Source organism: Homo sapiens, chromosome Y (genome assembly GCF_000001405.40).
Source record: "Homo sapiens chromosome Y, GRCh38.p14 Primary Assembly".
Lineage (NCBI taxonomy): Eukaryota > Metazoa > Chordata > Mammalia > Primates > Hominidae > Homo > Homo sapiens.
The window spans coordinates 1,652,908-1,680,106 of NC_000024.10; the positions used below are offsets into that span (position 1 = coordinate 1,652,908).

At 47.8% G+C, this 27,199-nt stretch overlaps 3 annotated features.

Annotated features, from left to right (window-relative positions):
• Positions 4,391-4,892: an enhancer, noted in NCBI's record as "H3K4me1 hESC enhancer chrX:1776191-1776692 (GRCh37/hg19 assembly coordinates)". NCBI's record gives its function as "activates a minimal SCP1, AML or CMV promoter by ChIP-STARR-seq in primed H9 embryonic stem cells {active_cell/tissue: H9 hESC(primed)}" and the evidence as "EXISTENCE:reporter gene assay evidence [ECO:0000049][PMID:30033119]".
• Positions 4,893-5,392: an enhancer, noted in NCBI's record as "H3K4me1 hESC enhancer chrX:1776693-1777192 (GRCh37/hg19 assembly coordinates)". NCBI's record gives its function as "activates a minimal SCP1, AML or CMV promoter by ChIP-STARR-seq in primed H9 embryonic stem cells {active_cell/tissue: H9 hESC(primed)}" and the evidence as "EXISTENCE:reporter gene assay evidence [ECO:0000049][PMID:30033119]".
• Positions 25,812-26,379: an enhancer, noted in NCBI's record as "OCT4-NANOG hESC enhancer chrY:1747612-1748179 (GRCh37/hg19 assembly coordinates)". NCBI's record gives its function as "activates a minimal SCP1, AML or CMV promoter by ChIP-STARR-seq in naive and primed H9 embryonic stem cells {active_cell/tissue: H9 hESC(naive and primed)}" and the evidence as "EXISTENCE:reporter gene assay evidence [ECO:0000049][PMID:30033119]".

Genomic DNA, 27,199 nt, shown 5'->3' on the forward strand with positions numbered 1-27,199 from the left:
ATCGAGGCCATCTTGGCCAACACGGTGAAACCCCGTCTGTACTAAAAATACAAAAAAAAAATTAGCCTGATGTGGTGGCGGGTGCCTGTAGTCCCAGCTACTCAGGAGGCTGAGGCAGGAGTTTGCAGTGAGCCGAGATTGCGCCACTGCACTCCAGCCTGGGAGACAGAGCGAGACTCTGTCAAAAAAAAAAAAATTAGCTGGGTGTGGTGGTGTGAACCTGTAATCTCAGCTACTTGGGAGGCTGAGGCAGGAGAATCGCTTGAACACTTGAGGCCAGGAGTTTGAGATCAGCTTGGCCAACATGGCGAAACCCGGTTTCTACTAAAAATACAAAAAAATCAGCACAGCGTGGTGGCACATGCTTGTAATCTCAGCTGCTAGGGAGGCTGAGGCATGAGAATTGCTTGAACCTGGGAGGTGGAGGTTGCAGTGAACCGAGATCACGCCACTGCACTCCAGCCTGGGCGACACATGGATACTCTGTCTCAAAACAAACAAACAAACAAACAAAAACATACTTATTGGCAATTGGTTGAAAGAGTTATTATCCGTAGTAAGGAATGTCTGGCTTATGATGGTGTTGTAGAGACCGAGGTTTTATTATGCAGATGAAGCTTCCCAGGTAGCAGGCTTCTGAGAGAAGAGACTGCAAATGTTTTTTTTTTCTTTTCTTTTTCTTTTCTTTTTTTTTTTTTTTTTTTAACGGAGTTTCACTCTTGTCATCCAGGCTGGAGTGCAGTGGCGCAATCTTGGTTCATTGCAACCTCCGACTCCCAGGTTCAAGTGATTCTCCTATCTCAGCCTCCCGAGTAGCTGGGATTACAGGCATGCACCACCATGACCAGCTAATTCTTGTATTTTTAGTAGAGACGGGGTTTCACCATGTTGGCCAGGATGGTCTCAATCTCTTGACCTCATGATCTGCCCGCCTCGGCCTCCCAAAGTGCTGGGATGACAGGCGTGAGCCACCGCACCCGACCAGAGACTCCAGATGTTTCTTACCAGACTTAAGGTCTGTGTTGATGTTCATGCTGAAAATATCAGAGGTGTTTGAACCAGAACGACTCCACCTTGAATAGAGGCTGGGTAAAATGAGGCTGAGACTTACTGGGCTGCATTCCGAGATGGTTAAGGCATTCTAAGTCACAGGATGAGATAGGAGGTTGGTACAAGGTACAGGTCATAAAGACCTTGCTGATAAAACAGGTTGCAGTAAAGAAGCCAGCCAAAACACGCCAAAACCAAGATGGCCACAACAGTGACCTCTGGTCGTCCTCACTGCTATACTCCCACCAACACCATGACAGTTTTCAAATGCCATGGCAACGTCAGGAAGTTACCTTATATGGTCTAAAAAGGGGAGGCATGAATAATCCGCCCCTTGTTTAGCATATCTTCAAGAAATAACCATAAAGGCCAGGTGCGGTGACTCACGCCTGTCATCCCAGCACTTTGGGAGGCCGAGGCGGGCGCATCACGAGGTCAGGAGTTTGACACCAGCCTGACCAACATGGCAAAACCCCATCTGTACTAAAAATACAAAAATCAGCCCAGCGTGGTGGTGCATGCCTGTAGTCCCAGCTACTCGGGAGGCTGAGGCAGAAGAATCGCTTGAACCTGGGAGGCAGAGGTTGCGATGAGCCGAGATCATGCCACTGCACTCCAGCCTGGGTGACAGAGCAAGACTCCGTCTCAAAATCAAAAAAAAAAAAAAAAAAAAAAAGAAAGAAAGAAAGAAAAGAAAGAACGAACCATAAAAATGGGTAACCAGCAACCTTGGGGACTGCTCTGTCTACGGAGTAGCCATTCTTTTATTCCTTTACTTTCCCAATAAACTCGCTTTCCCTTTGGTCTATGGACTTGCCCTCAATTCTTTCTTGCATGAGATCCTAGAACCCTCTCTTGGGATCTGGATGAGGACCCCTTTCTGGTAACAGAGGGGTGTGGCGAGGCCTGGCCAACCTCCACTTCCCAACATGGCATGAACTTTAAATTGAAATTGAAATAATTTCATGTTAAATTTTAGAGTGTCCTGGCCAAGGAGGGAGTCCATTCAGATTTTTATTTTTGCTTTATTTATTTATTTTTTATTTTTTTGAGAAGGAGTCTCGCTCTGTTGCCCAGGCTGGAGTGCAGTGGCCCCAACTCGGCTCACTGCAACCTCCGCCTGCCGGGTTCAAGCGATTCCCCTGCCTCAGCCTCCCAAGCAGCTGGGACTACAGGCGCCCGCCACCATGCCTGGCTAATTTTTTAATTTTTAGTAGAGATGGGGCTTCACCATGTTGGTCAGGCTGGTCTTGAACTCCTGACCTCGTGATCCGTCTGCCTCAGCCTCCTAAAGTGCTGGGATCACAGGCATGAGCCACCACGCCCGGCCTATTTTTGGTTTATGAGAGGAGCTGCTGATACCTGGAGACTTGATACCCACAAGCTCCCCTTAGCCACAGTTCCAAAACAGGACATGGCTCAAGACCGCGTCTGGGGAGGAGGGGGAGACAGGATAATTCAGGCCTGCTGGGTGCTGCCTGCTGGGGGTACCCAGGGTCTGTAGATGTGTAAAGCCAGAGAGCTGGGACCAGAGTCTGCTGTTTCATTTTGCCCAAGACTTTCTGTGGGCCTCCTGGAATAAGGCAGACCAGCTGATGGTTGTTTTTTTTTTTTTTGACAGAGTCTTTCTCTGTCACCCAGGCTGGAGTGCAATGGCGCGATCTCGCCTCACTGCAACCTCCGTCTCCCAGGTTCAAGTGATTCCCCTGCCTCAGCCTCCCGAGTAGCTGGGACTACAGGTGCGCACCACCATGCCTGGCTAAATTTTGTATTTTTAGTAGAGATGGGGTTTCAGCATGTTGGTTAGGCTGGTCTTGTACTCCTGACCTCAAGTGATCCACCAGCCTCGGCCTCCCAAAGTCCTGGGATGACAGGCGTGAGCCACCACGCCAGGCCCGGGTAATATCTCTTATAGCTAGAGTGATTTTAGAGTGACCTTCGCATATCGTGACCCGTGAGTGAGTTTCCTGGGCGTGATGGTTAATACTGAATGGCAGCTTGATTGGATTGAAAGATCCAATCAAAGCGTTGTTCCTGGGTGTGTCTGTGAGGGTGTTGCCAAAGGAGAATAACACTAGAGTCAGTGGACTCGGAGAGGCAGAACCCCCCTCAATCTGGGTGGGCACCGTCTCATCAGCTGCCAGTCTGGCCAGAATAAAAGCAGGCAGAGGAGCGTGAAAAGGCTAGACTGGCTTAGCCTCCCAGCCTCCATCTTCCTCCTTTGCTGGATGCTTCCTGCCCTGGACCACTGGACTCCAAGTTCTTAATCCTTGGGACTCAGACTGGCTTCCTGCCTCCTCAGCTTGTAGATGACCTATGGTGGGACCTCACCTTGTGACTCTGTGAGTTAATTCTCCTTAATAAACTCCCCTTCATATATATATAATTCATGTGGACTCTTTCTAGACCATATAGATTGTATTAGTCAGGGTTCCTTAGAGGAATAGAACAAATAGAAGATACACACACACGCACACACACATATATATGTACGTATATGTGTGTATATATACACGTGTATATATACACACATATATACACGTGTATACACACACATGTGTATATATACATGTATACACATATATGTGTATATGCACATGTGTATACACACATATGTGCATGTACACATATGTGCATATACGCATATATACACGTGTGTATACGCATATATACGTGTGTACACGCATATATACACGTGTGTACACACATATATACACGTGTGTACACGCATATATACACGTGTGTATACGCATATATACACACATACACACATATATACACACATATACACACACACATATATATACACACACAATACATATATATGTGTGTGTGTGTGTGCGTGTGTGTGTATATATCTTCTATTAGTTCTATTCCTCTAAGGAACCCTGACTAATACAATGTATATGGTCTAAAAAGAGTCCATATGAATAATCCACTCCTAGTTTAGCATATCATCAAGAAATAACCATAAAAATGGGGGCCAGGTGTGGTGGCTCACGCCTGTCATCCCAGCACTTTGGGAGGCCGAGGTGGGTGGATCGCCTGAGGTCGGGAGTTTGAGACCAGCCTGGCCAACATGGTGAAACCCCATCTCTACTAAAAATACAAAAAAAATTAGTCGGGCATGGTGGCAGTTACCTGTAATCCCAGCTACTCGGGAGGCTGAGGCAGGAGAATCGCTTGAACCCGGGTGGCGGAGGTTGCAGTGAGCCGAGATCACGCCACTGCACTCCAGCGTGGGTGACAGAGTGAGACTCCATCTCAAAAAAAAGAGAAAAGGTTGTATTCTTTTGAGTCCTTGATAGCCTCTGACTGAATACATCATGTATTAGTTTGGTGTAGAAGTAACGGAGTGAAAACAAAAACAACAAAACAACCACCACCACCACCACAACAAAAAACACCCAGGCACAAAAGTGCAAAATGGCACAATATCATTTGCATGAAGTGTCTAGAATAAGACTGCTTGCAGAGTCAGAGAGCAGATGGGTGATTGCTTAAGGCTGAGAGCAGGGAGACTGGGGAGTGACGGTTTAATGGGTATGGGGTGTTTTTTTTTGGGTTACGAAGGTGTTCTGGAACTAGCTAGGGCCGGTGGTTGTGTAAAATGCTCAGTGCACTAAATCGTCTCTTCATTGTGCAATTTTTAAAATGGCAAACTGTGTGTGATGGGTATTTTCCCACAGTAAGAAACAGCAGCAGCACAAAGGGAGGTGATAACTCACGTCATATCACACCCTGCAGGCCCCATCACCCTTCCTCCTTCCTCTGTTCACCTCCTCCTCCTTTTCCGGGCTCTGCAGACGAGCCCGGGCAGCCCTCCCCGCTGGCCGTCTGGACCCAGGCCTGCCTGTCTTGGGTGCATTTTAGGACATTAAGTCTGGCTGGAACCTGAGAGCATCAGCCATGCGGTAAGTCCCCACATCCCTCCAGCAGTCTGGGAGGGGAGCTCTCTCCTTTGCTTTTGTACACTCTGGAGAAAATTGTCAGGCAGCAGACATGAAGAGCCTCTGGGGAGATTCAGTGAGGGCTGGCAGGCAGGTGTCCAGGAGCCTGAGTGACTCACGAGAGAAAGGACATATTCCTTAAAGACAAATTCATCAACGGATTGGTTTAAATAATTCCTGCTCAGCACATCCCAAATTAAGCTTCGTCATCAGACACTGCATCTGTTGCCTTTTCTAGAAACATGAGCTCTAAGCTCAGTGACACCGTCTGTCAGGGTTTCAACGTTTCACCTCCCCCCTCCAGGGGAGCCGGTTTCCATACACCAAAGCTCTCCAAGGTCCAGTTGTGAGGATGGGGAACGCTGGCTGTCTGGTGACGGCCTTTCCAAAGCTGCCCTGTCCTCTTGCATTAAGAAAGATTAGTTTGTACTCCGGGAGGAGAGGCGCAGAAGGTTAACAAGATTAGAGAGAGCTCCTGAGACCTGCGGTGAGATTCCCTGAGGGATGTGGCTAATAAAACTGTAAAAACAACGCAGGCGGTGTCTCTCACCGCCGGGTCCTGATTTCAGGGCCGCAAATGTCTACCTCTTCTAGGCAGTTTGCTACCTCAATAATTTAGGTTGTCAGTTGTGGTATCCAAGCCCCAGCACACTTTTTTGTTTGTTTGTTTGTTTGTTTGTTTTGCAGTTTGCAGGTGATAGTTTCTAAAGATGTGTTTTTCTATTTTTCTTTCTTTCTTTCTTTTTTTTTTTTTTTTTGAGACAGAATCTCACTCTGTCGCCCAGGCTGGAGTGCAGTGGGGCGATCTCAGCTCACTGCAAGCTCCGCCTCCCGGGTTCACGCCATTCTCCTGCCTCAGCCTCCCGAATAGCTGGGACTACAGGCGCCCGCCACCACGCCCGGCTAATTTTTTGTATTTTTAGTAGAGACGGGGTTTCACTGTGTTAGCCAGGATGGTCTCGATCTCCTGACCTCGCGATCTCCCCGCCTCGGCCTCCCAAAGTGCTGGGATTACAGGCATGAGCCACCACGCCTGGCTAATTTTTTGTATTTTTAGTAGAGACGGGGTTTCACTGTGTTAGCCAGGATGGTCTCGAACTCCTGACCTCGTGATCCGCCCACCTCAGCCTCCCAAAGTGCTGGGATAACAGGCGTGAGCCACCGCGCCCGGTCTATTTTTCTTAACTAAGAAATGTGTATGTGTGTGCATATGGTTGTGTGGCTGGTAGAGGTGGAGAGCTTCAGGAATGTGTGTATGCGTGTGTGTTTCTGCGTGTGTCTGTGTATGTGTTTGTGTGTTATCTTTGCTTGTGATTATGTTTGTGTCTGTACATATGTGTGTGTCTTTGTGGATGTGTGTTTGTATATGTATGGCTGTCTGTGTGTGTTTGCCTCTTTGTGTATGCATGTGAATGTGTGTGTTTATATTTGTGTATTTATGTCTGTGTAAGTGTATTATGTATTTGCACATGAGTGTGTTTCTGCATGTGTATATTTGGGTGTCTGTGTGTGTGCATGTGTGTGTATATGCATGCTAGTGTGTGTGCAGTTGTTTGTGTATGCATTTGTGCATATGTGCATGTGTGCATTTGTGTGTGTAGATATGGATATGGATGAGCGTGTATATTAATGTCTGTATGCATTTGTGTGTATGTGCATGTGTATATTTGCGTGTGTAGATATGGATATGTATGAGCATGTATATTAGTGTCTGTATGCATTTGTGTGTATGTGTGCATATGTGCATGTGTGCCTTTGTGTGTGTACATATGGATATGTATGCACGTGTATGCTGGTGTCTGTATGCATTTGTGTGTATGTGTTTGTGCATGTGTATATTTGGGTGTGTGTAGATATGGATATGTATGAGTGTGTATGCCTGTTAGTGTCTGTATGCATTTGTATTTGTATTTGTGTATGTGAATGTGAGCATTTGCACATGTGTGTATACGTGTGTCTGCATGTGTGCATCTATGTGTGTGCGTGTATGTGCAAGTGCGTATGTGTATAGGCACATGCTGATTTGTGTGTGTGAGAGGAGGGGCACAGGCAGACACTCTCTGTGTGGTCCCAGGTGAGGCCTGGTGGCAACGAGCCTGGTGCGTTCAGCCCTGGGTGGATGTGGTAGCGGAGGGAACAGCAGGGCAGCGTCCGAGGTGTGAAAAAGCACAACCTGCCCCGAGAGAGCCCTGCGCTCTGGGCCATCTCGGCTTCTTGGGCCATAGGTACATTCCTCACAGGTGACCTGAGTGTGGAGGAAAGGCCGTCTCTGCAGGCCAGGGGGCTCGCTGGTTAGTGCTCACACCCAGAGTGCACCCGGACGGCACCAGAGATCTTCCTACCTCCCAGGAGCCGTTGCACGATCTCCGGGCATCGCCACCCCCGACCTCGGGCACCACGAGACTCCATTTACAGACGGGAAGCGACCTGGGGCTGACCTTGATAAAACCCCTGTCCGGCCTCGATGGGTCTGAGCGGCAGGTGCCATTGTCTTCCCAACAGCGGCGTGTGTGACCCAACACGAGTTCGGGAATGCGAACAGTCTCCTCTCCGAGCTTCGCAAGCTGTTTTAGCACAAACTCACTGCTCAGCAGACTTCTTTGAACAAGGAGTCTTCTTAAAAATGACCCTTAAGCCTGTAATCCTAGCACTTTGGGGGGCCGAGGCGGGCGGATCGCTTGAGGTCAGGAGTTCGAGACCAGACTGGCCTACATGGAGAAACCGCATCTCCACTGAAAAATACAAGAATTAGCCAGGGTTGGTGGCGCATGCCTGTAATCCCCGCTACTCAGGAGGCTGAGTCAGGAGAATCGCTTGAACCCGGGAGTTGGGGGTTGCAGTGAGCCGAGATTGCACCATTGCGCTACAGCCTGGGCAACACAACGAGCCTCTGTCTCTAAAATAAAATAAGATAAAAAGTAAAATAAAGTAAAATGAAATATAAATATAATAATAAAAATGTAATAATAATATAATAATAATAATATCTGCCTACATAGGTCAGTGTACAGGCGGCGAACTGACTTCTTGCTCCGTGGCGTCAGAGCCTTGGAGAAAAGGAGGGTCACTGAGAAGGGGGGGCGGGTCAAATGAGAAGAAAACGCCAGGGAGGCTGATGCAAATCCCAGACCTCAAGGAGCAAGGGAGGGGCTGTTCTATCAAGTCCTGACGCCCAGGGCTAAAGGTAGAGGAGAAGGAATCCGTTCTTTGCCTTCTTTCTCTTCCCGCCCCCTAGCCCCTGCGCCTGGACCCCATTGGCTGAGCCCTGCTGAAGTCACCCAGCCAGGGTGACGCCAGTCAGAGCCAGGCAGATGTCAATTACACAGGGCCTTCTCTGTCTTCCCGCCCCCTAGTGCCTGCACCTGCTCCCCATTGGCTGAGCCCTGCTGAAGTCACCCAGCCAGGGTGATGTCAATCAGAGCCAGGCAGATGTCAATTACACAGGGCCTTCTCTTCCCGCCCTCTAGCCCCTGCACCTGCTCCCCATTGGCTGAGCCCTGCTGCAGTCACCCAGCCAGGTGATGTCAATGAGAGCCAGGCAGCTGTCAATTACACAGGGCCTTCTCTTCCCGCCCTCTAGCCCCTGCACCTGCTCCCCATTGGCTGAGCCCTGCTGAAGTCACCCAGCCAGGTGCTGTCAATCAGAGCCAGGCAGATGTCAATTACACAGGGCCTTCTCTCTCTTCCCGCCCCCTAGCCCCTGCATCTGCTCCCCATTGGCTGAACCCTGATGAAGTCACCCAGCCAGGTGATGTCAAGCAGAGCCAGGCAGATGTCAATTACACAGGGCCTTCTCTCTCTCTCTCTCTTCCCGCCCCCTAGCCCCTGCACCTGCTCCCCATTGGCTGAGTCTAGCTGAAGTCACCCCGCTATAGAGCCAGGCAGCTGTCAATCACACAGGGCCCACCACAGCCCAGAGTTGGGTTGAGTGCGAATCTAGCGAACCCTGTGAATCACGTCAGCGCCTGCACAGTGGGAAGGGGTCCCCCCTGGCACGTTGCTGCCAAGTTTCAACAGCGCTTAGAGGGGAAGCGGCAGAAGCAATTCGGCTTCTCGATGGGCTTGCCCCGGCGTGCACTTGCACGAAGCATTGGCAGGAAGGAAGCTTACAAATTCATCTGGGGCCACCAGCTTCCGGGGATCCGGTGAGATGCGGGGCATGGAGGGTTTGTGAAAGCAGCAGAGTGAGTTCTGTGTCATTTACTGCTGTTCTCTTCGGTCACATTGTTCTTTTGTTTTTTGTTTAAAAATAGGTGACTTTTACGCCGTACGCAGTGGCTCACGCCTGTAACCCCAGCACTTTGGGAGGCCAAGGTGGGAGGATCACCTGAGGTCAGGAGTTCGAGACCAGCCTGGCCAACATGGTGAAACCCTGTCTATAATAAAAATACAAAAATTAGCCTGGCGTGGTGGGGGGTGCCTGTAATCCCAGCTACTTGGGAGGCTGAGGCAGGAGAATCACTTGAGCCTGGGAGGCGGAGCTTGCAGTGAGCCGAGATCGAGCCACTGCACTCCAGCTTGGGCAACAGAGCAAGACTCCGTATTAAAAAAAAAAAAAAGTGACTTTTAGGTCGTATACAGTGGCTCACGCCTGTAATCCCAGCACTCTGGGAGGCCGAGGTGGGAGAATCACTTGAGCCCAGGAATTTGAGACCAACGTGGGCAACATAGCAAAACCTCGTATCCATTTATTCGATTAAAAAAGAACAAGTGACTTTTATTTGTCAGAATGAGTTATACAAATTCTGTGCTTTTTAAAATTTTTATTCTTTTTTTAAAAAATTTTTTATTTTTTGAGACAGTCTCACTCTGCCTCCCAGGCTGGAGCACAGTGGTGCGATCTCAGCTCACTGCAACCTCCACCTCCCGAGTTCAAGCGATTCTCCTGCCTCAGCCTCCTCAGTAGCTGGGATTACAGGCAAGCGCAACCACACCCGGCTAATTTTTTTGTATATATATATATATATATATATATATATTTTTTAGTAGAGACGGGGTTTTACCATGTTGGTCAGACTGATCTCGAACTCTTGACCTCGTGATCCACCCGGCCTCCCAAAAGTGCTGGGATTGCAGGCGTGAGCCACCGCACCCGGCCTTATTTTATTCTTTTTAATTGAGAAAAATGGCACATATTCACGGGATACATAGTGATGTTTCTATCCATATAGTGTGTAATTATCAGATCCTTATAGCATATAATGATCAATGTATAATTAATGATCAGATCCATATAATCTATAATGAGATGATTGATAGCATGTCCATCACGTCGAACTGCCTTTCCTTCCTTCCTTTGTTCCTTCCTTCCTTCCGTTCTCTCTCTCTCTCTCTCTCCCCTTTCTTTCTCTCTTTCTTTTTCTGTCTCTCTGTCTCACTTTCTCTCTTTTGGTCTCTCTCTCTCTTTCTTTCTGTCTTTCTTTCTTCTCTCGCTCTCTCATCCAGGCTGCAGTGCAATGGCATGATCTCGGCTCACTGCAACCTCCACATCCAGGGTTTGAGCAATTCTCCTGCCTCAGCCTACCAGGTAGCTGGGATTACAGGCATGTGCCACCACAGCCAGCTAATTTTTGTTTTTTTAGTAGAGACAGAGTTTTGCCGTGTTGGCCAGGCTGGTCTGGAACTCCTGACCTCAGGGGATCCACCTGCCTCGGCCTCCCAAAGTGCTGCGATTACAGGCATGAGCTACCATGCCCATCATTTCTTTGTGTAGGGAACATTTAATATCCTCCTTCCAACTATTTGAAACTGTAGAATATATTATTGTTAACTATCATCATTCTACAGGGCTTTAGAACACTAGAGTTTATTCCACGTGTCTAGCTGTAATTTTGTACGCTTTAATAATTGTTTTCATATGGACATAATAGCTCTCCGGGAAGAAAAAAATATAAAATAATAAATGTCACTCAGAACAGTAATCAGTAATGCTGTCAAAACTTTATTCAGGCTGTGTGTGGTGGCTCATGCCTGTAATCCCAACTCTTAAGGAGGACGAGGCGGGTGGATCACTTGAGCTCAGGAGTTTGAGACCAGCTTGGCCAACATAGTGAAACCCTGTCTCTACTAAAAATACAAAAAAAATTAGCCGGGCGTGGTAGCAAGTGCCTGCCATTCCAGTTACTCAGGAGGCTGAGGCACGAGAATCACTTAAATCTGGGAGGCGGAGGTTGCAGTGAGCTGAGATCGCGCCATTGAACTCCAGCCACTGCACTCCAGAGACAGACTCTCTTTGTCTTTTTTTTTTTTAATTTTTAAAAGGCAGGCGGATCACCTGAGGTCAGGAGTTCGAGACCAGCCTAGCCAAAATGGTGAAACCCCGTGTCTACTAACAATACAAAAATTAGCAGGGTGTGGTGGCGGGCACCTGTAATCCCAGCTACTCAGGAGGCTGAGGCAGGAGAATCGCTTGAACCCGGGAGGTGGAGGTTGCGGTGAGCCGAGATCACGCCACTGCAATGTGGCCTGGGCAACAGAGAAAGGCTTTGTCTCAAAACAAACAAACAAAAAATTGATGTTATGCACAGTATTTAATAAATTACATGAGACAGTCAATACTGTATTCTAAAATAGTCTTTGCGTTAGGTGATTTTGCCCAACTGTAGACAAATGTGAGTACTGTGTTTAAGGCAGGCTAAGCGATGATGTTTGGAAGGCTAGCTGTATTAAATGTCTTTTCAAGCAAGGATCTTTTCAACTTACAATGGGTTTATCAGGACGTAAGCCATTTTAGGTCAAGGAGTATCTGTATTTTGCTTTGATGAACATTTGACTATTCAGTCCTTTTAAAGTGGTGCATTCATGTGGCAGTTTGAGAGACATTAACAAAAAAAAAAAATAGAACACCTCCAGCAAGTACCAGAAAGATCACCTTTCTCCGTACAACTTCAGATTTGATAAAGCAGGCTTTTAAAAAGTGCTCTAGGGAATTGCAGGTCAGGTTAACAAAAACACATATTCAAATACCACAAATACAGCTATTAACATTAAAGCTGGCAGGGCACGGTGGTTCACAGCTGCAATCCCAGCACTTTCAGAGGACAATGTGGGTGGATCGCTTGAGGTCAGGAATTCAAGACCAGCCTGGTCAACATGGTGAAACCCCGTCCCTACTAAAAATCCAAAAATTAACCGGGCGTGGTGGCAGGTGCCTGTAATCGCAGCTACTCGGGAGGCTGAGGCAGGAGAATTGCTGGAACCCGGGAGGTGGAGGTTGCGGTAAGTCGAGATCGCGCCACTGGCTGGGCAGCAAGAGTGAAACTCCATCTCAATAAAACAAACAAACAAACAAAACCCTCCAAAACACGAGGATGATGGGGTTTGTCAAGACAAGGACCCTTTGTGTCTTTGTGTCTTTGGACTTGAGGGAATGGTCCCTCACAACCTCTAAAAGTCAATACATTTGATGTTTTCAAGGGTAGGTGGTAATCTTGCTATAATCACTGACTTCAGAGCTATCGTTCATCCCTCGGATTGGGGTATATGGGTAGGGAAAATAACACCCATGATGATGGCCACATCCTAATTCCTGGATCCCTGCACCTGTGAACATGTGACTTCACGTGGCAAAATGAATGTTGCAGGTGCGATAAAGGTAAGGATCTGGAGATGGGACATGATCCTGCATCTTGGATGGACCCAGTGTCTTCACAGGGTTCTCAGAAGAGGAGGTAGCATGGGCAGAGTCAGAGAGATTGGAAGAGGCTATACAGCTGGCTTTCAAGATGCAGAGAGGGACTGTGCATGAGGCATTGCCAGGTAGCTTTTGCTGGACTACAGTTCAATCCATTTCAGTTGCATCCAGTTCCTTTCGAAAGCTCTAGGGGAAGGTCCATCGTGTCTCTCCCACCCCCTGGGGACTCCAGGTGTCCCTGGGCTTGTGGCCTCATCGCTGCAGTCTCTGCTTCCGTCTCCACGTGGCCTTCTCCTCTGTGTCTGTGTCTCCTCTTCTGTCTCTCTTTTTTTTTTTTTTTTTCTGAGACTGAGTGTCACTCTGTCGCCCAGGCTGGAGTGCAGTGGCGCCATCTCGGCTTATTTCAAGTTCCACCTCCCGGGTTCACGCCATTCTCCTGCCTCAGCCTCCTGAGTAGCTGGGACTACAGGCACCCGCCACCACGCCCGGCTAATTTTTTTATATTTTTAGTAGAGACGGGGTTTCACCGTGTTAGCCAGGATGGTCTCGATCTCCTGACCTCGTGATCTGCCCGCGTCGGCCTCCCTAAGTGGTGGGATTAGAGGCGTGAGCCACCACTCCCGGCCTCCTCTTCTGTCTCTTGTGAGGACAGTGGTCATTAGATTTATGTCCACTCTCCTACAGGATGATCTCATCTCAAGCTCCTTGAATTAATTATGTGTGCAGACACGCTGTTTCCAAATAAAGTGTCACTGACAGGTACTAGGGGCTTAAGGCAACAGAAACTCATTCTCTCTCACTCCTAGAGAACAGAAGTCTCAGAACAACGTGTCTTAGGGCCGTGCTCCCTCTGGAGGCTCTAGGGGAGGGTCCTTTCTGCTTCTCCCAGCTCCTGGGGGCTCCAGGTGTCCCTGGGCTTGTGGCCGCATCACTCCGGTCTCTGCCTCCGTCTCCACATGGCCCTCTCCTCTGTGTCCGTGTCTCCTCGTCTGTCTTTTATGAGGACTGTGGTCATTAGAGTTAGGGTCCACTGTTGTCCAGGATGATCTTATCTCGAGCTTTTGAATTAATTATATCTGCAGAAACCGTATTTCCAAATAAAGTCTCACTGATAGGTACTAGGGGATTGAAACAACAGAAACTCATTCTCTCTCAGTCCTGTAGACCAGGAGTCTCAGGGCCACACTCCCTGTGGAGGCTCTAGGGGAGGGTCCTTCTTGCCTCTGCCAGCTCCTGGGGGCTCCAGGTGTCCCTGAGCTTGTGGCCCCATCACTCCAGTTTCTGCCTCCATCTCCACGTGGCCACCTCCTCTGCATCTGTGTCTCCTCTTCTGTCTGTTAAAAGGACACCTGTCATTGCATTTAGGGCCCACCCTATTGCAGGATGATCTCATCTCCAGATCCTTAATATAACTACATCTGCAAAGACCCCTTTTTCCAAATATGGTCCCATTTACAGGTTCTCAGGTTTTGATGTGGACTCATCTTTTGGGGGACACCACTCAATCTCTTCCAGTTGTATTCAGCTCCCTCCAGAAGCTGCAGTGGAGCGTCCTTCCTGCCTCTCCCAGCTCCTGGGGGCTCCAGGCATCCCTGGGCTTGTGGCTACATCACTGCAGTCTCTGTCTCTGTTTCCACGTGGCCTTCTTCTCTGTGTCTGTGTCTCCTCTTCTGTCTCTTAGGAGGACACCTGTCATTGCATTTACGGCCTACCCTGCTCCAGGATGATCTCCTCTCAAGATCATTAACTAATTACATCTGCAATGACCTTATTTTCAAATAAGGTCCGGTTCACAGATTCTGGGGGTTAGGACATGGACAGATCTTTTGGGGATCACCATTCAAGTCTTTGCAATTGTGTCTGGTTCCCTCCAGAGGCTCTAGGGGAGGGTCCTTCCTGCCTCTCCCAGTTCCTGGGGGCTTCAGACATTTCTGGGCTTCTGGCCGCATCACTGCAATCTCTGCCTCCATCTCTACGTGGCCTTCTCTTCTGTGTCTGTGTCTCCTCTTCTGTCTCTCAGAAGGACACCTGTCATTGCATTTAGGGTCCACCCTAACTCCATATGACCTCATCTCTACATACTTAAGTAATCATATCTACAAAGACACTATTTCCAAATAATGTCCCACTGCAGCTTGTGGACAATAGCACGTGAACAGATCTTTCAACTACATGCAGCTCCCTCCGGAGGCTCTGGGGAGGGTCCTTCCTGCTTCTCCCAGCTCCTGCGGGCTCCAAGTGTCCCTGGGCTTGTGGCCGCATGACTCCAGTCTCTGCCTCCGTCTCCACATGGCCTTCTCCTCTGTGTCCGTGTCTCCTCTTCTGTCTCTTAGAAGGACACCTGTCAGTGGATTTAGGACCCAAGTTAAATGCAAGATGATCCTATTTCAACATCCTTAACTATATCACATGTAGAAAGACCCTACTTACAATTAAGGACACACTCTGAGGTTCTGGGTAGACGTGAATTTGTTTTGGAGGGGGGATACATTTTAACCCAGTACAGCGTCTTGATTAGGGAAGGAAATGAACTCATTTCATTCATAGAATCATGAATTGTTCATTCCTTGTGTTTATCAAGCATTCTCTAAAATGTTCCCGAGCCGACTGTGGAGCTCTGAGAACTCTTGAACAAACCTGTCCATAGTGGTTTCTGCCTTCTGTGCTTTATAATTTAGAGAAATTCGGCTGGGCGCGGTGGCTCACGCCTGTAATCCCAGGACTTTGGGAGGCCGAGGCAGGCGGATCACCTGAAGTCAGGAGTTCGAGACCAGCCTGACCAACATGGAGAAACCCCATCTCTACTAAAAATACAAAATTAGCCAGGTGTGGTGGTGGGCACCTGTAATTACAGCTACTCGGGAGGCTGAGGCAGGAGAATCGCTTGAGCCCAGGAGGTGGAGGTTGCAGTGAGCCGAGATCCAGCCACTGCACTCCAGCCTGGGCAACAAGAGGGAAACTCCATCTCAAATAATAATAATAATAATAATAATAATAATAATAATAATAATAGTTTAGAGAAATTCATTATTTCTGTGCCCGGTGAATTGGCGTGCTTTCGCTGGTAAGGATTACAGGATTTTTATCTTGCTTGGGACATCTCCAGGGATGAAAGTCAGGTCCTGGACTTTTTTTTTTTTTTTTTTTGAGACGGAGTCTCACTCTGTCACCCAGGCTGGAGTGCAGTGGCACAGTCTCGGCTCACTGCAACCTCTGCCTCCCAGATTCAAGCAATTCTCCCGCCTCAGCCTCCCGAGTAGCCGGGATTACAGGCATGTGCCACCACGCCCAGCTAATTTTTTTGTATTTTTAGTAGAGACGGGGTTTCGCCATATTGGCCAGGCTGGTCTCGAACTCCTGACCTTGTGATCCACCCACCTGGACCTCCCACAGTGCTGGGATTACAGGCATGAACCACTGCGCCCGGCTGTTTCTTTGTTTTTGAGATGGAGTTTTGCTCTGTTGCCCAGGCTGGAGTGCAGTGGCACAATCTCGGCTCACTGCAACCTCCGCCTCCCAGATTCAAGCAATTCTCCCGCCTCAGCCTCCGGAGTAGCTGGGATTACAGGCATGTGCCACCACGCCCAGCTAATTTTTTTGTACTTTTAGTAGAGACGGGGTTTCGCCATATTGGCCAGGCTGGTCTCGAACTCCTGACCTTGTGATCCACCCACCTGGACCTCCCAAAGTGCTGGGATTACATGCGTGAGCCACCGCGCCCGGACAGGTCCTGGACTTTTAAAATCAAAGGCCAGTACGTTTAATGACCATTAGAGAGAAAGATAAAAGCTGCCACAAGGTTCCGTTTGTCTAATTGAGCATTTGCAGGCTGAGGAGTGGAAAGGTTGTTTCTGATGTCCGCAGGGGACCGTTTTACACCTGGAAACCTGACATTTCATTCACCGCAGCCCGCCGGGCGTGCCGGCCACTTCACTTTTCACCCCCTCTGACTCCTCTTTCTTTGAAGCTAAGAGAGATGATTTTCATTTCCAGCAACGTTCATGAGGCTTTCTGGGCACTCGCCTGTGAGCAGGAAAAGGCTGAGACAGGTATAACCTGTCTTTGGGACAGGCTCTCCTTCGGAGGCCGAGGCGGGCAGATCACCTGAGGTCAGGAGTTTGAGACCAGCCTGGCCAACATGGTGAAACTCCGTGTCTACTAAAAATATAAAAATTAGCCGGGCTTGGTGGTGTGTGCCTGTAATCCCAGTTACTTGGGAGGCTGAGGCAGGAGAATCATTTGAAGTCGGGAGGCGGAGGTTGCAGTGAGCCGAGATTGCGCCACTGCACTCCAGCCTGGGCGACAGAGTGAAACTCCGTCTCAAAAACAAACAGGCAGGCGCGGTGGCTCATGCCTGTAATCCCAGCACTTTGGGAAGCTGAGGCAGGCGGATCGCAAGGTCAGGAGTTTGAGACCAGCCTGGCCAACATGGTGAATCTCCGTCTCTACTAAAAATACAAAAAATTAGCCCGGCATGGTGGCGGGTGCCTGTAGTCCCAGCTACTCAGGAGGCTGAGGCAGGAGAATGGCATGAACCCGGGAGGCGGAGGTTGCAGTGAGCTGAGATTGTGCCACTGCACTCCAGCCTGGGCGACAGAGCGAGACTCCATCTCACAAACAAACAAAGAAGAAAGAAAAACAAAAACAACTCAGAGACATATATCATTATGTTTTCTTTCATTTCTATGGGGAATCAAACATCTTATGAGTCTGGCTTACTAGGGGTGGCTATTGTTTGAGTTACTATTTGCTTGTTTACTGTGTTATTCATTCACGCCCCGAATGGTTGTAGGGCTAGCTAGCTGCCCAGAATGTCTCTTGAAGAAACTCACAATTTTTCTTTTTATTTCCATGCCTCGAGGTGGGGGGTGGCAGGACCTTTGGAGGGGTCTCTGGTCCTTCTCAGCCATTTGTTTTTTTTTGTTTCTGTTTTGAGATGGTGTTTCACTCTGCTGCCCAGTGCGGAGTGCAATGGTGTGATCTCGGCTCACTGCAACCTCCGCCTCCGGGTTCAAGCGATTCTCCTACCTCAGCCTCCCAAGTAGCTGGGACTGCAGGCGCCCACCACCACGTCCAGCTATTTTTTTTTTTTTTTTTTTTTTTTTGTATTTTTAGTAGACACGGGGTTTCACCATGTTGGCCAGGCTGGTCTCGAACTCCTGACTTCAGGTGATCCGCCCGCCTCGGCCTCCCAAAATGCTGGGATTACAGGCGTGAGCCACTGCACCGGGCTCTTCTCACCCACTTTAAGCTTTCTTCCATCCCTAAACTCCTCTGTGTATCCTCTTCCAACTTCATGTTACTGCTTAGGGGTGCATTTGCCTCTCAAAGGCCTTTTCTTACAAACAGTGCATTTCCAGACTTTCAGGCGTCCGCAGGTGTCTAGGACAGCCAAAGACCCAACACTGGTCTTTAAAATTTCCATACGTATTGTTTTCCACGCCACTGACGCAGCCTTGGACAGCTCCTTTGTGGACTGATTGTCAGGTCACCCCTGTGACCTGCATGTATACATCTAGATGGCCTGGAGCAACTGAAGGACCACAGAAGATGACATTCTACCATTGTGATCTGTTCCTGCTCCACCCTTACTGATCAGTTGACTTTGGGACAATACACCCTCCCCGCCCTTGCAGTCGTGTACTTTGTGATATTCCCCTGTCCTTGTGAATGTACTTTGTACGATACAGCCTCCTCACCCTTGGAAAGGTACTTTGTAATATCCTCCCCCGCCCTTAAGAAGGTACTTTGTAGGCCGAGCGCGGTGGCTCACGCCTGTAATCCCAGCACTTTGGGAGGCCGAGGCGGGCGGATCACGAGGTCAGGAGTTCGAGACCATCCTGGCTAACACGGTGAAACCCCGTCTCTACTAAAAATACAAAAAAATTAGCCCAGTGTGGTGGCGGGCGCCTGTAGTCCCAGCTACTCGGGAGGCTGAGGCAGGAGAATGGCGTGAACCCGGGTGGTGGAGGTTGCAGTGAGCCGAGATCGCGCCACTGCGGTCCGGCCTGGGCGACAGAGCGAGACTCCATCTCAAAAAAAAAAAAGAAGGTACTTTGTAATATTCTCCCCACCGTTGAGAATGTCCTTTGTGGCATCCACTCCCTGCCTAGAAAAAATTGCTCCTAACTCCACTGCCTATCCCAAACCTATAAGAACTAATGATAATCCCGCCACCCTTTGCTGACTCTTTTTTATGGACTCAGCCCGGACTCTCTTCACACGGACGCGTGTGACACCGATGTGTGTGAGCAAGAGATTTTGAAATTAAGAGGCAGGAGAGAAGGAAGCTGAGAGCTTGCTATTTCTGTGAACACTGGTTGTTACTGTATCGGGCCCCGTTAGAGTGGACCCTAGCTCAGAGGAGACATTTGATAACTGTGGGAAAATCAATGAATGAATGAAGACGCTAAATTTCTTGCAAGCACTGATGTCTAACTTTTATTCATTTATTTATTTTAGACACAGGATCTTGCTCTGTTGCCCCGGCTGGAGTGTAGTAGTGTAATCCTAGCTGACTGCAGTCTCAAACTCCTGGGCTCAGGCAATCCTCCTGCCTCAGCCATGTGAGTAGCTAGGATTATAGGCCTGTGCCACCATGCTTGGCTAGGTGTTTTTAAAATTTTTTTGGCTGGGTGCAGTGGCTCATTCCTGTAATCCCAGCACTTTGGGAGGCCGAGGTGGGAGGATCTCCTGAGTCCGGGACATCGAGGCTGCATTGAGCCAAGATCGTGGCATTGCAGCCTGGGTGACAGACTGAGACCCTGTCTGAAATGAAATTTCAATAAAATAAATAAAATCATTTCTTTATAGACAGGATGTCAGTATGTTGCTCAGGCTGGTCTCAAACTTCTGGACTTCAAGTGAGCCTCCCACCTTGGCCTCCCAAAGTGCTGAGATTACGGGTGTGAGCCACCATGCTGGCCCTGAGTCTTAACTTTCATAAAAACAATTCTTTTGTGTCTGTGTGTGTGTGATGGAGTCTCTCTCTGTCGCCCAGTGTGTGTGTGTGTGTGTCTGTGTGTGTGTCTGTGTGTGTGTGTGTGTGTGAGATGGCGTCTCGCTCTGTCGCCCAGGCTGGAGTGCAATGGCACCATCTCAGCTCACTGCAACCTCTGCCTCCCGGGTTCAAGTGATTCTCCTGCCTCAGCCTCCTGAGTAGCTGGGGTTACAGGCGTGCACCACCACGCCCAGCTTATTTCTTGTATTTTTAGTAGAGACAGGGTTTCGCCATGTTGGCCAGGCTGGTCTCAAACTCCTGACCTCAAGTAATCCGCCCACCTCAGCCTCCCAAAGTGCTGGGATTACAGGCGTGAGGCACCACGCCTGGCCTTTCATAAGAATACTTCTTAGTAGAATGCTGCCTACCGCAGAATTGCCTTACCTCTCCCCTCACTTTGTGTCCAAAGGGAATTCACAATCTCCATTCCAGGGTTTGAGCTCAGGCTGAGATGAGATTCAGCTCGTCTGGGGACTTGCAAATGCTTTGAAAAGATATGAAAAGGGTCGGGCATGGTGGTTCACGCCTGTAATCCCAGCACTTTGGGAGGCTGAGGCAGGCAGATCACGAGGTCAGGAGTTCGAGACCAGCCTGGCTAACCTGATGAAACCCTGTCTCTACTAAAAATGCAAAAATTATCTGGGCGTAGTGGTGCGCGCCTGTAATCCCAGCTACTCAGGAGGCTGAGGCAGGAGAATCTCTTGAACCTGGGAGGCGGAGGTTGCAGTGAGCTGAGATCTCACCACTGCACTCCAGCCTGGGGGACAGAGCGAGACTCCTTCTCAGAAAACAAACAAACAAAAAACCAAAACAACAACAAAAACAAACAAAAACAAAAAACAAAACTCATAAAGGTATGAAGGGGAGAGGTGCATTCCTGGGTGTAATATTCTCAATGAACACCAGGAGGCGGTGGTGAGGCACCATCCACACAAGCTGTCTTGAAGCGTGAACTGCCTGAAATGGTGAATTTTGTATCCACAGTACCTGGTATGTGGTCAGATACTGGGCTACATGGTGCTGTGAAGGTATCTTTCAGATGAGATGAACATTTTGTTCAGAGTCTGAATGAAGCCAGGGACCACGCACGATGAGGGTGGGCCTCGTCCCATCAGTTGAAGGTCTTAAGTGCAAAGACCAATGTTTTCCAAGGACAAAAGGATTCTGCCTCCCGGGATTCGGGTTCCAGCTGCAGCATTAACTCTTCCTGAGTTCTGCAGCCTGCTGGTCTACCTGAAGAATTTAGTGTTTCCCCTCCAGAATCATTGAGCCAATTCCTTAAAATCTTCCTTTCTTAGGTATCTGTATACACATGCATAAAACCAACATATAACGCCTTCATAGCCAATTCCTTAAAATCTCTCTCTCTCAAATATCTATATGCATGCGTAAAACCAACATACACCGCCTTCATAGCCAATTCCTTAAAATCTCTCTCAAATATCTATATGCATGCATATAACCAACATATACCTCCTACATGGCTATACCTCCTACATGGCCAATCCCTTAAAAATCTCTCTTAGATATTTATATATGTATGTGTAAAACCAACATATGCCTCCTACTTAGACAATTCCTTAAAATCTCTCGCTCAAATATCTATATATGCATGCATAAAATCAACATAAACCTCCTACTTAGCCAATTTCTTTCTTTTTTTTTTTTTTTGAGACAGAGTCTTGCTCTGTTGCCCAGGCTGGAGTGCAGTGGCACGATCTCGGCTCACAGCAACCTCCATCTCCCAGGTTCACGCAATTCTCGTGCTTCAGCCTCCCGAGTAGCTGGAATTACAGGTGCCCACCACCACATCTGGCTGATTTTTGTATTTTTAGTAGAGAAAGGGTTTCACCATGTTGGCCAGGCTGGTCTCAAACTCCTGACCTCGTGATCCGCCCGCCTCAGCCTCCCAAAGTGCTGGGATTACAGGCGTGAGCCACCACGCCCGGCCTTAGCCAATTTCTTAAAATCTCTCTCAAATATCAATACATGTATATATGAAACCAACATATACCTCCTACTTAGACAATTCCTTCAAATTTCTTTCCCTTTCTCTCAAGACCTATAGATGTCTGTATAAAACCAATATATACTTCCTACGTAGCCAATTCCTTAAAATGTCTCTCCTTCAAATATCTATATGTATGTATAAAACCAACATATACTTCCTTCATAGTTAATTTCTTAAAGTCGCTCTCTGTGTATATAGATTTATATAGACATAGATATAGAGATATTATATGTCTACATATAGCTATGCATGAATAAAGCCAATATGTACCTATTATGTATACAAATCCTTAAAATCTTTCCTTTCTCTCTGTATGTATATATATAGATATATCTATATATAGATCTGTATGGATAAAGCCAATAGGTACCTTCTATATTGACAATTCCTTAACATCTCTCTCTCTGTGTATACCTATATATAGATATATAGACATTATATATCTATATGTATGTAAAAACCAACATATACCTCCTACATAGACAATTCCTTAAAATCTCTTTGCCTCTCTCTCTGTCTCTTTTTTGAGACCGAGTCTTGCTCTGTCACCCAGGCTGGAGTGCAATGGTGTGTTCTTGGCTCACTGCAACCTTCACCTCCCGGGTTCAAGCGATGCTCCTGCCTCAGTCTCCCAAGTAGCTGGGGTTACAGGTGCCCACCACCACGCCTGGCTAATTTTTTGCATTTTTACTAGACACGGGGTTTCACCATGTTGGCCAGGCTGGACTCGAACTCCTGACCTTAGGTAATCTGCCCGTCTCGGCCTCCCAAAGTGCTGAGATTACAGGCGTGAGCCACCGTACTCGGCCTAGATAGAGATATATAGCTATTATATATCTATATATTGATATGTATGGACAAAGCCAATATGTACCTCCTATACTGATAATTCCTTAACATCTCTCTCTCTCTGTGTATTTTATATATAGATGTATAGATAGTCTCTGTCTGTGTATATTTATATATAGATATATATTGTATCTATATAGATATATATTGTATATATATATAGATATATAGTATATATAGATATATATTGTATATATAGACATATATTGTATATATATATATATATATATGCATGTAAAAAACCAACATATACCTCCTACATAGAAATTCCTTAAAATCTCTTTGCCTCTCTCTCTCTCTCCCCCACCCGCCTCTTTTTTTTTTTTTTGAGACGGAGTCTTGCTCTGTTGCCCAGGCTGGAGTGCAATGGTGTGATCTTGGCTCACTGCAACCTCCACCTCCCGGGTTCAAGCAATTCTCCCACCTCTGCCTCCTGAGTAGCTGGTACTACAGGTGCCCACTACCATGCCCAGCTAATTTTTTGTATTTTTAGTAGAGACGGGGTTTCACCGTGTTGGCCAGGCTGGTCTCAAACTCCTGACCTCAGGTGATCTGCCCGCCTCGGCCTCCCAAAGTGCTGGGATGACAGGCGTAAGCCACCGTGCCAGGCCTACATATAGATATGTAGCTATTATATATCTCTATATAGATATGTATGGATAAAGCCAATATGTACATCCTAATATTGAGAATTTCTTAACATCTCTGTCTTTGTGTATATTTATATATAGATAAATAGCTACATAGACATTATATATCTATATGTATGTAAAAAACCAACATATACCTCCTACACAGACAATTCCTTAAAATCTCTTTGTCTCTCTCTCTCTATATATATTATCTATCTATCTATCTACCTGTGTCTATATAAGTGTGATTAAAGCCAATATGTATTTCCTATATAGACAATTCCTTCTATATAGACAATTCCTTAACATTTCTCTTTGCATGTGTATGTGTGTGTGTGTATATATATATATATATATATATATATGTAATATCTATATGTATAAAACCAGTAGCCAATTTCTTAAAATCTCTCTGTAACCTATCTACATGTGTGTTTACATGTCTGTCCATAAGTATGTATAAAACATCTACCTCCAGGCTGGGCGCAGTGGCTCACACCTGTCATCCCAGCACTTTGGGAGGCCAAGGAGGGTGGATCACGAGGTCAGGAGTTCGAGACCAGCCTGGCCAACATGGTGAAACCCTGTCTCTATTAAAAATAAAAAGAAACATTAGTCGGGCATGGTGGTTGGCACCTGTAGTCCCAGCTACTCGGGAGGCTGAGGCGGGAGAATCATTTGAACGTGGGAGGCGGAGGCTGCAGTGAGCCGAGATCGCACCACTGCACTCCAGCCTGGGCCACAGAGTGAGACTCCATCTCAAAAAAAAAAAAAAAAAATCATATCTACCTCCTATTGATTTTCTCCATCTTATTGGTTCTGTTTCCCTGTCTGATACACCACCGAAGGAGAGAGAATAAGGGGTCCTCGTGGGTTTGCGGGGTGACTGAGAGAGTCACAGATGACCTGTGGGTGCCTGGATTCCGGGAGGGGACGGGAGGACTCAGGGAAGAAGGACAGGGTGGAATCATCGGAGTTTCCCTCCAGTGGGAGGCCAGGAGCTTCCAACTGCCTCTGTACCCCCGACCCAGCACACAAAAGGACGAGGAGAAGCATATCCTCGTCTCTAAGCATCAGCGCCAATCACGGCAGGTGCCGTGGTAGCAGTGAGCCTTGGCACTCAGCGTTTTTCTGCACTGTGGGTGAAAGTCCGGGAAGATATCAGAACCTGTGGGCCCTGAGTGTCAGTCTTGCCCCTGTGGGTGGAGGGTGCAAGATTCTAGAGCAGTGGTCCTCAGGCTGGGGCTGGGTTAACTCCAGGAGAATCACCCTCTAGAGAGAGAGATGTTCCAATGCAGAGTCCCAGGCCTGCCCAGGAGAATCCAGCTCAGGAGTCTGTGGGTGAGTTCCAAAGGGTGTGACCAGGGATTGCTCACTGATTCAGGCGACTCAATGATAAAGAAGAGTGAGCCTCTTTTTTTTTTTTTTTTTTTTGAGATGGAGTCTCACTCTGCCTCCCAGGCTGGAGTTCAATGGCACGATCTCGGCTTACTGCAATCTCTGCCTCCCGGGTTCAACTGATTCTCCTGCCTCAGCCTCCTGAGCAGCTGGGACTACAGGTGCCCACCACCATGCCTGGCTAACTTTTTGTATTTTCAGTAAAGATGGGGTTTCCCCATGTTGGTCCGGCTGGTCTCGAACTCCTGACCTCGTGATCTGCGCGTCTCAGCTTCCCAAAGTGCTGGGATTACAGGCGTGAGCCATCGTGCCCGGCCGATCCTTTTTTTATGGGCTAAACTGTGTCCCCTCTAAAATTCCTAGGTTGAAGCCCTAACCCCAGGGCCTCAGAATGTGGCTGTATTTGGAGGTAGGGTATGTAAAGAGGTAATTAAGGTAAAATGAGGTTATTAAGGTAAAATGAGGTTATTAAAGTAAAATGAGGTTACTAAGGTGGACCCTGATCCAGTAAGACTGACGTTCTTGTAAGAGGACATTGGGAATGGAGACGGTGGCTCACGCCTATAATCCCAGCACTTTGAGAGGCCGAGGTGGGTGGATCACCTGAGGTCAGGAGTTCAAGACCAGCCTTGCCAACATGGCAAAACCCTGTCTCTACTAAAAATACAAAAATTAGCCTGGCATGGTGGCAGGTGCCTGTAATCCCAGCTACTCAGAAGGCTGAGGCAGGTGAACTGCTTGAACCGGGGAGGCGGAGGTTGCAGTGAGCCGAGATTGTGCCATTGCACTTCAGCCTGAGCAACAGAGCGAGATTCTGTCTCGAAAAAAAAAAAAAAACGGCCGGGCGCGGTGGCTCACGCATGTAATTCCAGCACTTTGGGAGGCCGAGGTGGGTGGATCACGAGGTCAAGAGATTGAGACCATCCTGGCCAACATGGTGAAACCCCGTCTCTACTAAAAATACAAAAATTTGTCCGGCATGGTGGTGCATGCCTGTAACCCCAGCTACTCGAGAGGCTGAGGCAGGAGAATTGCTCGAACCCGGGAGGCAGAGGTTGCAGTGAGCTGAGATCGTGCCACTGCACTCCAGCCTGGGCAACAAGAGTGAAAACTCTGTCTCAAAAAAAAAAAAAAAGATATTGGGACACAGACACACACAGAGGGATAATCCTATCAAGATATAGGGAGAAGGCAGCCATCTGCAAACTGTAAATCAAAAACTATGTGAGACAGATCTCATCAATATGGACATTTATTGTGCCAAGGTTAAGGACCGTGGCCCGTGACACGGCCTCAGGAGGTTTGGAGAATTGCCCAAGGTGGTTGGGTTACAGCTTGATTTTACACATTTTAGGGAGACAGACGTTGCAACAAACACATACATCCATACATGGAAGGCGTACATTGGTTTGGGCCAGAAAGGTAGGACATCTCTACGTGGGCGCCTCGGGGTCATATGTGGATTCAAGGATTTTCTGATATGCCGTTCAATTTAGCAGAAAGAAATGCCTCAGTTTACATGATGGGGGTTGTGGAAGACAAGGTTTTTGTGATGTAGATGAAGCCAGCAGGTAGCAGGCTTAGAAAGAATGGATGGTAAATGTCTCTCTGTTTTGTTTTGTTCTTGTTTTGAGACAGAGTCTCGCTCTATCACCAGGCTGGAGTGCAGTGGCACAATCTCCACTCTCTGCAACCTCCGCCTCCCAGGTTCAAGCAATTCTCCTGCCTCAGCCTCCCAAGTAGCTGGAATTACAGGCACCTGCCACCCAGCCGGGCTAATTTTTGTATTTTTAGTAGAGATGGGGTTTCACCATGTTGGCCAGGCTGGGGTAAATGTCTCACATCAGAGGTTAAAAGCTGTCGGACTCTCCAGGGAAGACGTGATGAGAGAAGAGGATTGATATGGTTTGGCTGTGTCCCCACACAAATCTTACCCTGAATTATAGCTCCCATAATTCCTACATGTCTTGGGAGGGACGTGGTGGGAGGTAATTGAATCATGGTGCAGGTTTTTTCCATGCTGTTCTAATGAGTGACTAAGTCTCCCGAGATCTTGTGGTTTTATAAAGGGGAGTTTCCCTAACCAAACCGCGTCTTGCCTGCCACCACGGGAGACGTCCCTTTGCTCTGTGTTCATCTTCCACCATGATTGTGAGGCCTCCTGCAGCCATGTGAAATGGTGAGTCCGTTAAAGCTCTTTCCTTTATAAATGACCCAGTCTCAGCCATGTCTTTATTAGCAGAATCAGAACAGACTAATACAGGGAATCTTTCCCTTCTTTCCTTTTTTTTTTTTTGAGATGGAGTGTGACTCTGTCGCCCAGGCTGGAGTGTAGTGGCTGGATCTCGGCTCACTGCAACCTCTGCCACCGGGGTTCAAGAGATTCTCCTGCCTCAGCCTCCCAGGTAGCTGGGATTACAGGCACCTGCCACCGCGCCCGGCTGATTTTTGTATAGGGATTCTTTACAGAATGCAAATTTCCCCCACAAGAGATGGCTTTGCGGAGATGTGCCAAGATAAGTGAAAGACAATATATTTTGCAGAAAAATATGCTGATTCCTTCAGGGCCTGCTATCTGTCCTTTGATGCCATACCAGAATTAGGTGGGAATTTGGTATCTTATTGGTAGAAAGGGTCTCTTTGATCAGTCTTGTCTCAAAAAATAAAGAAATAATT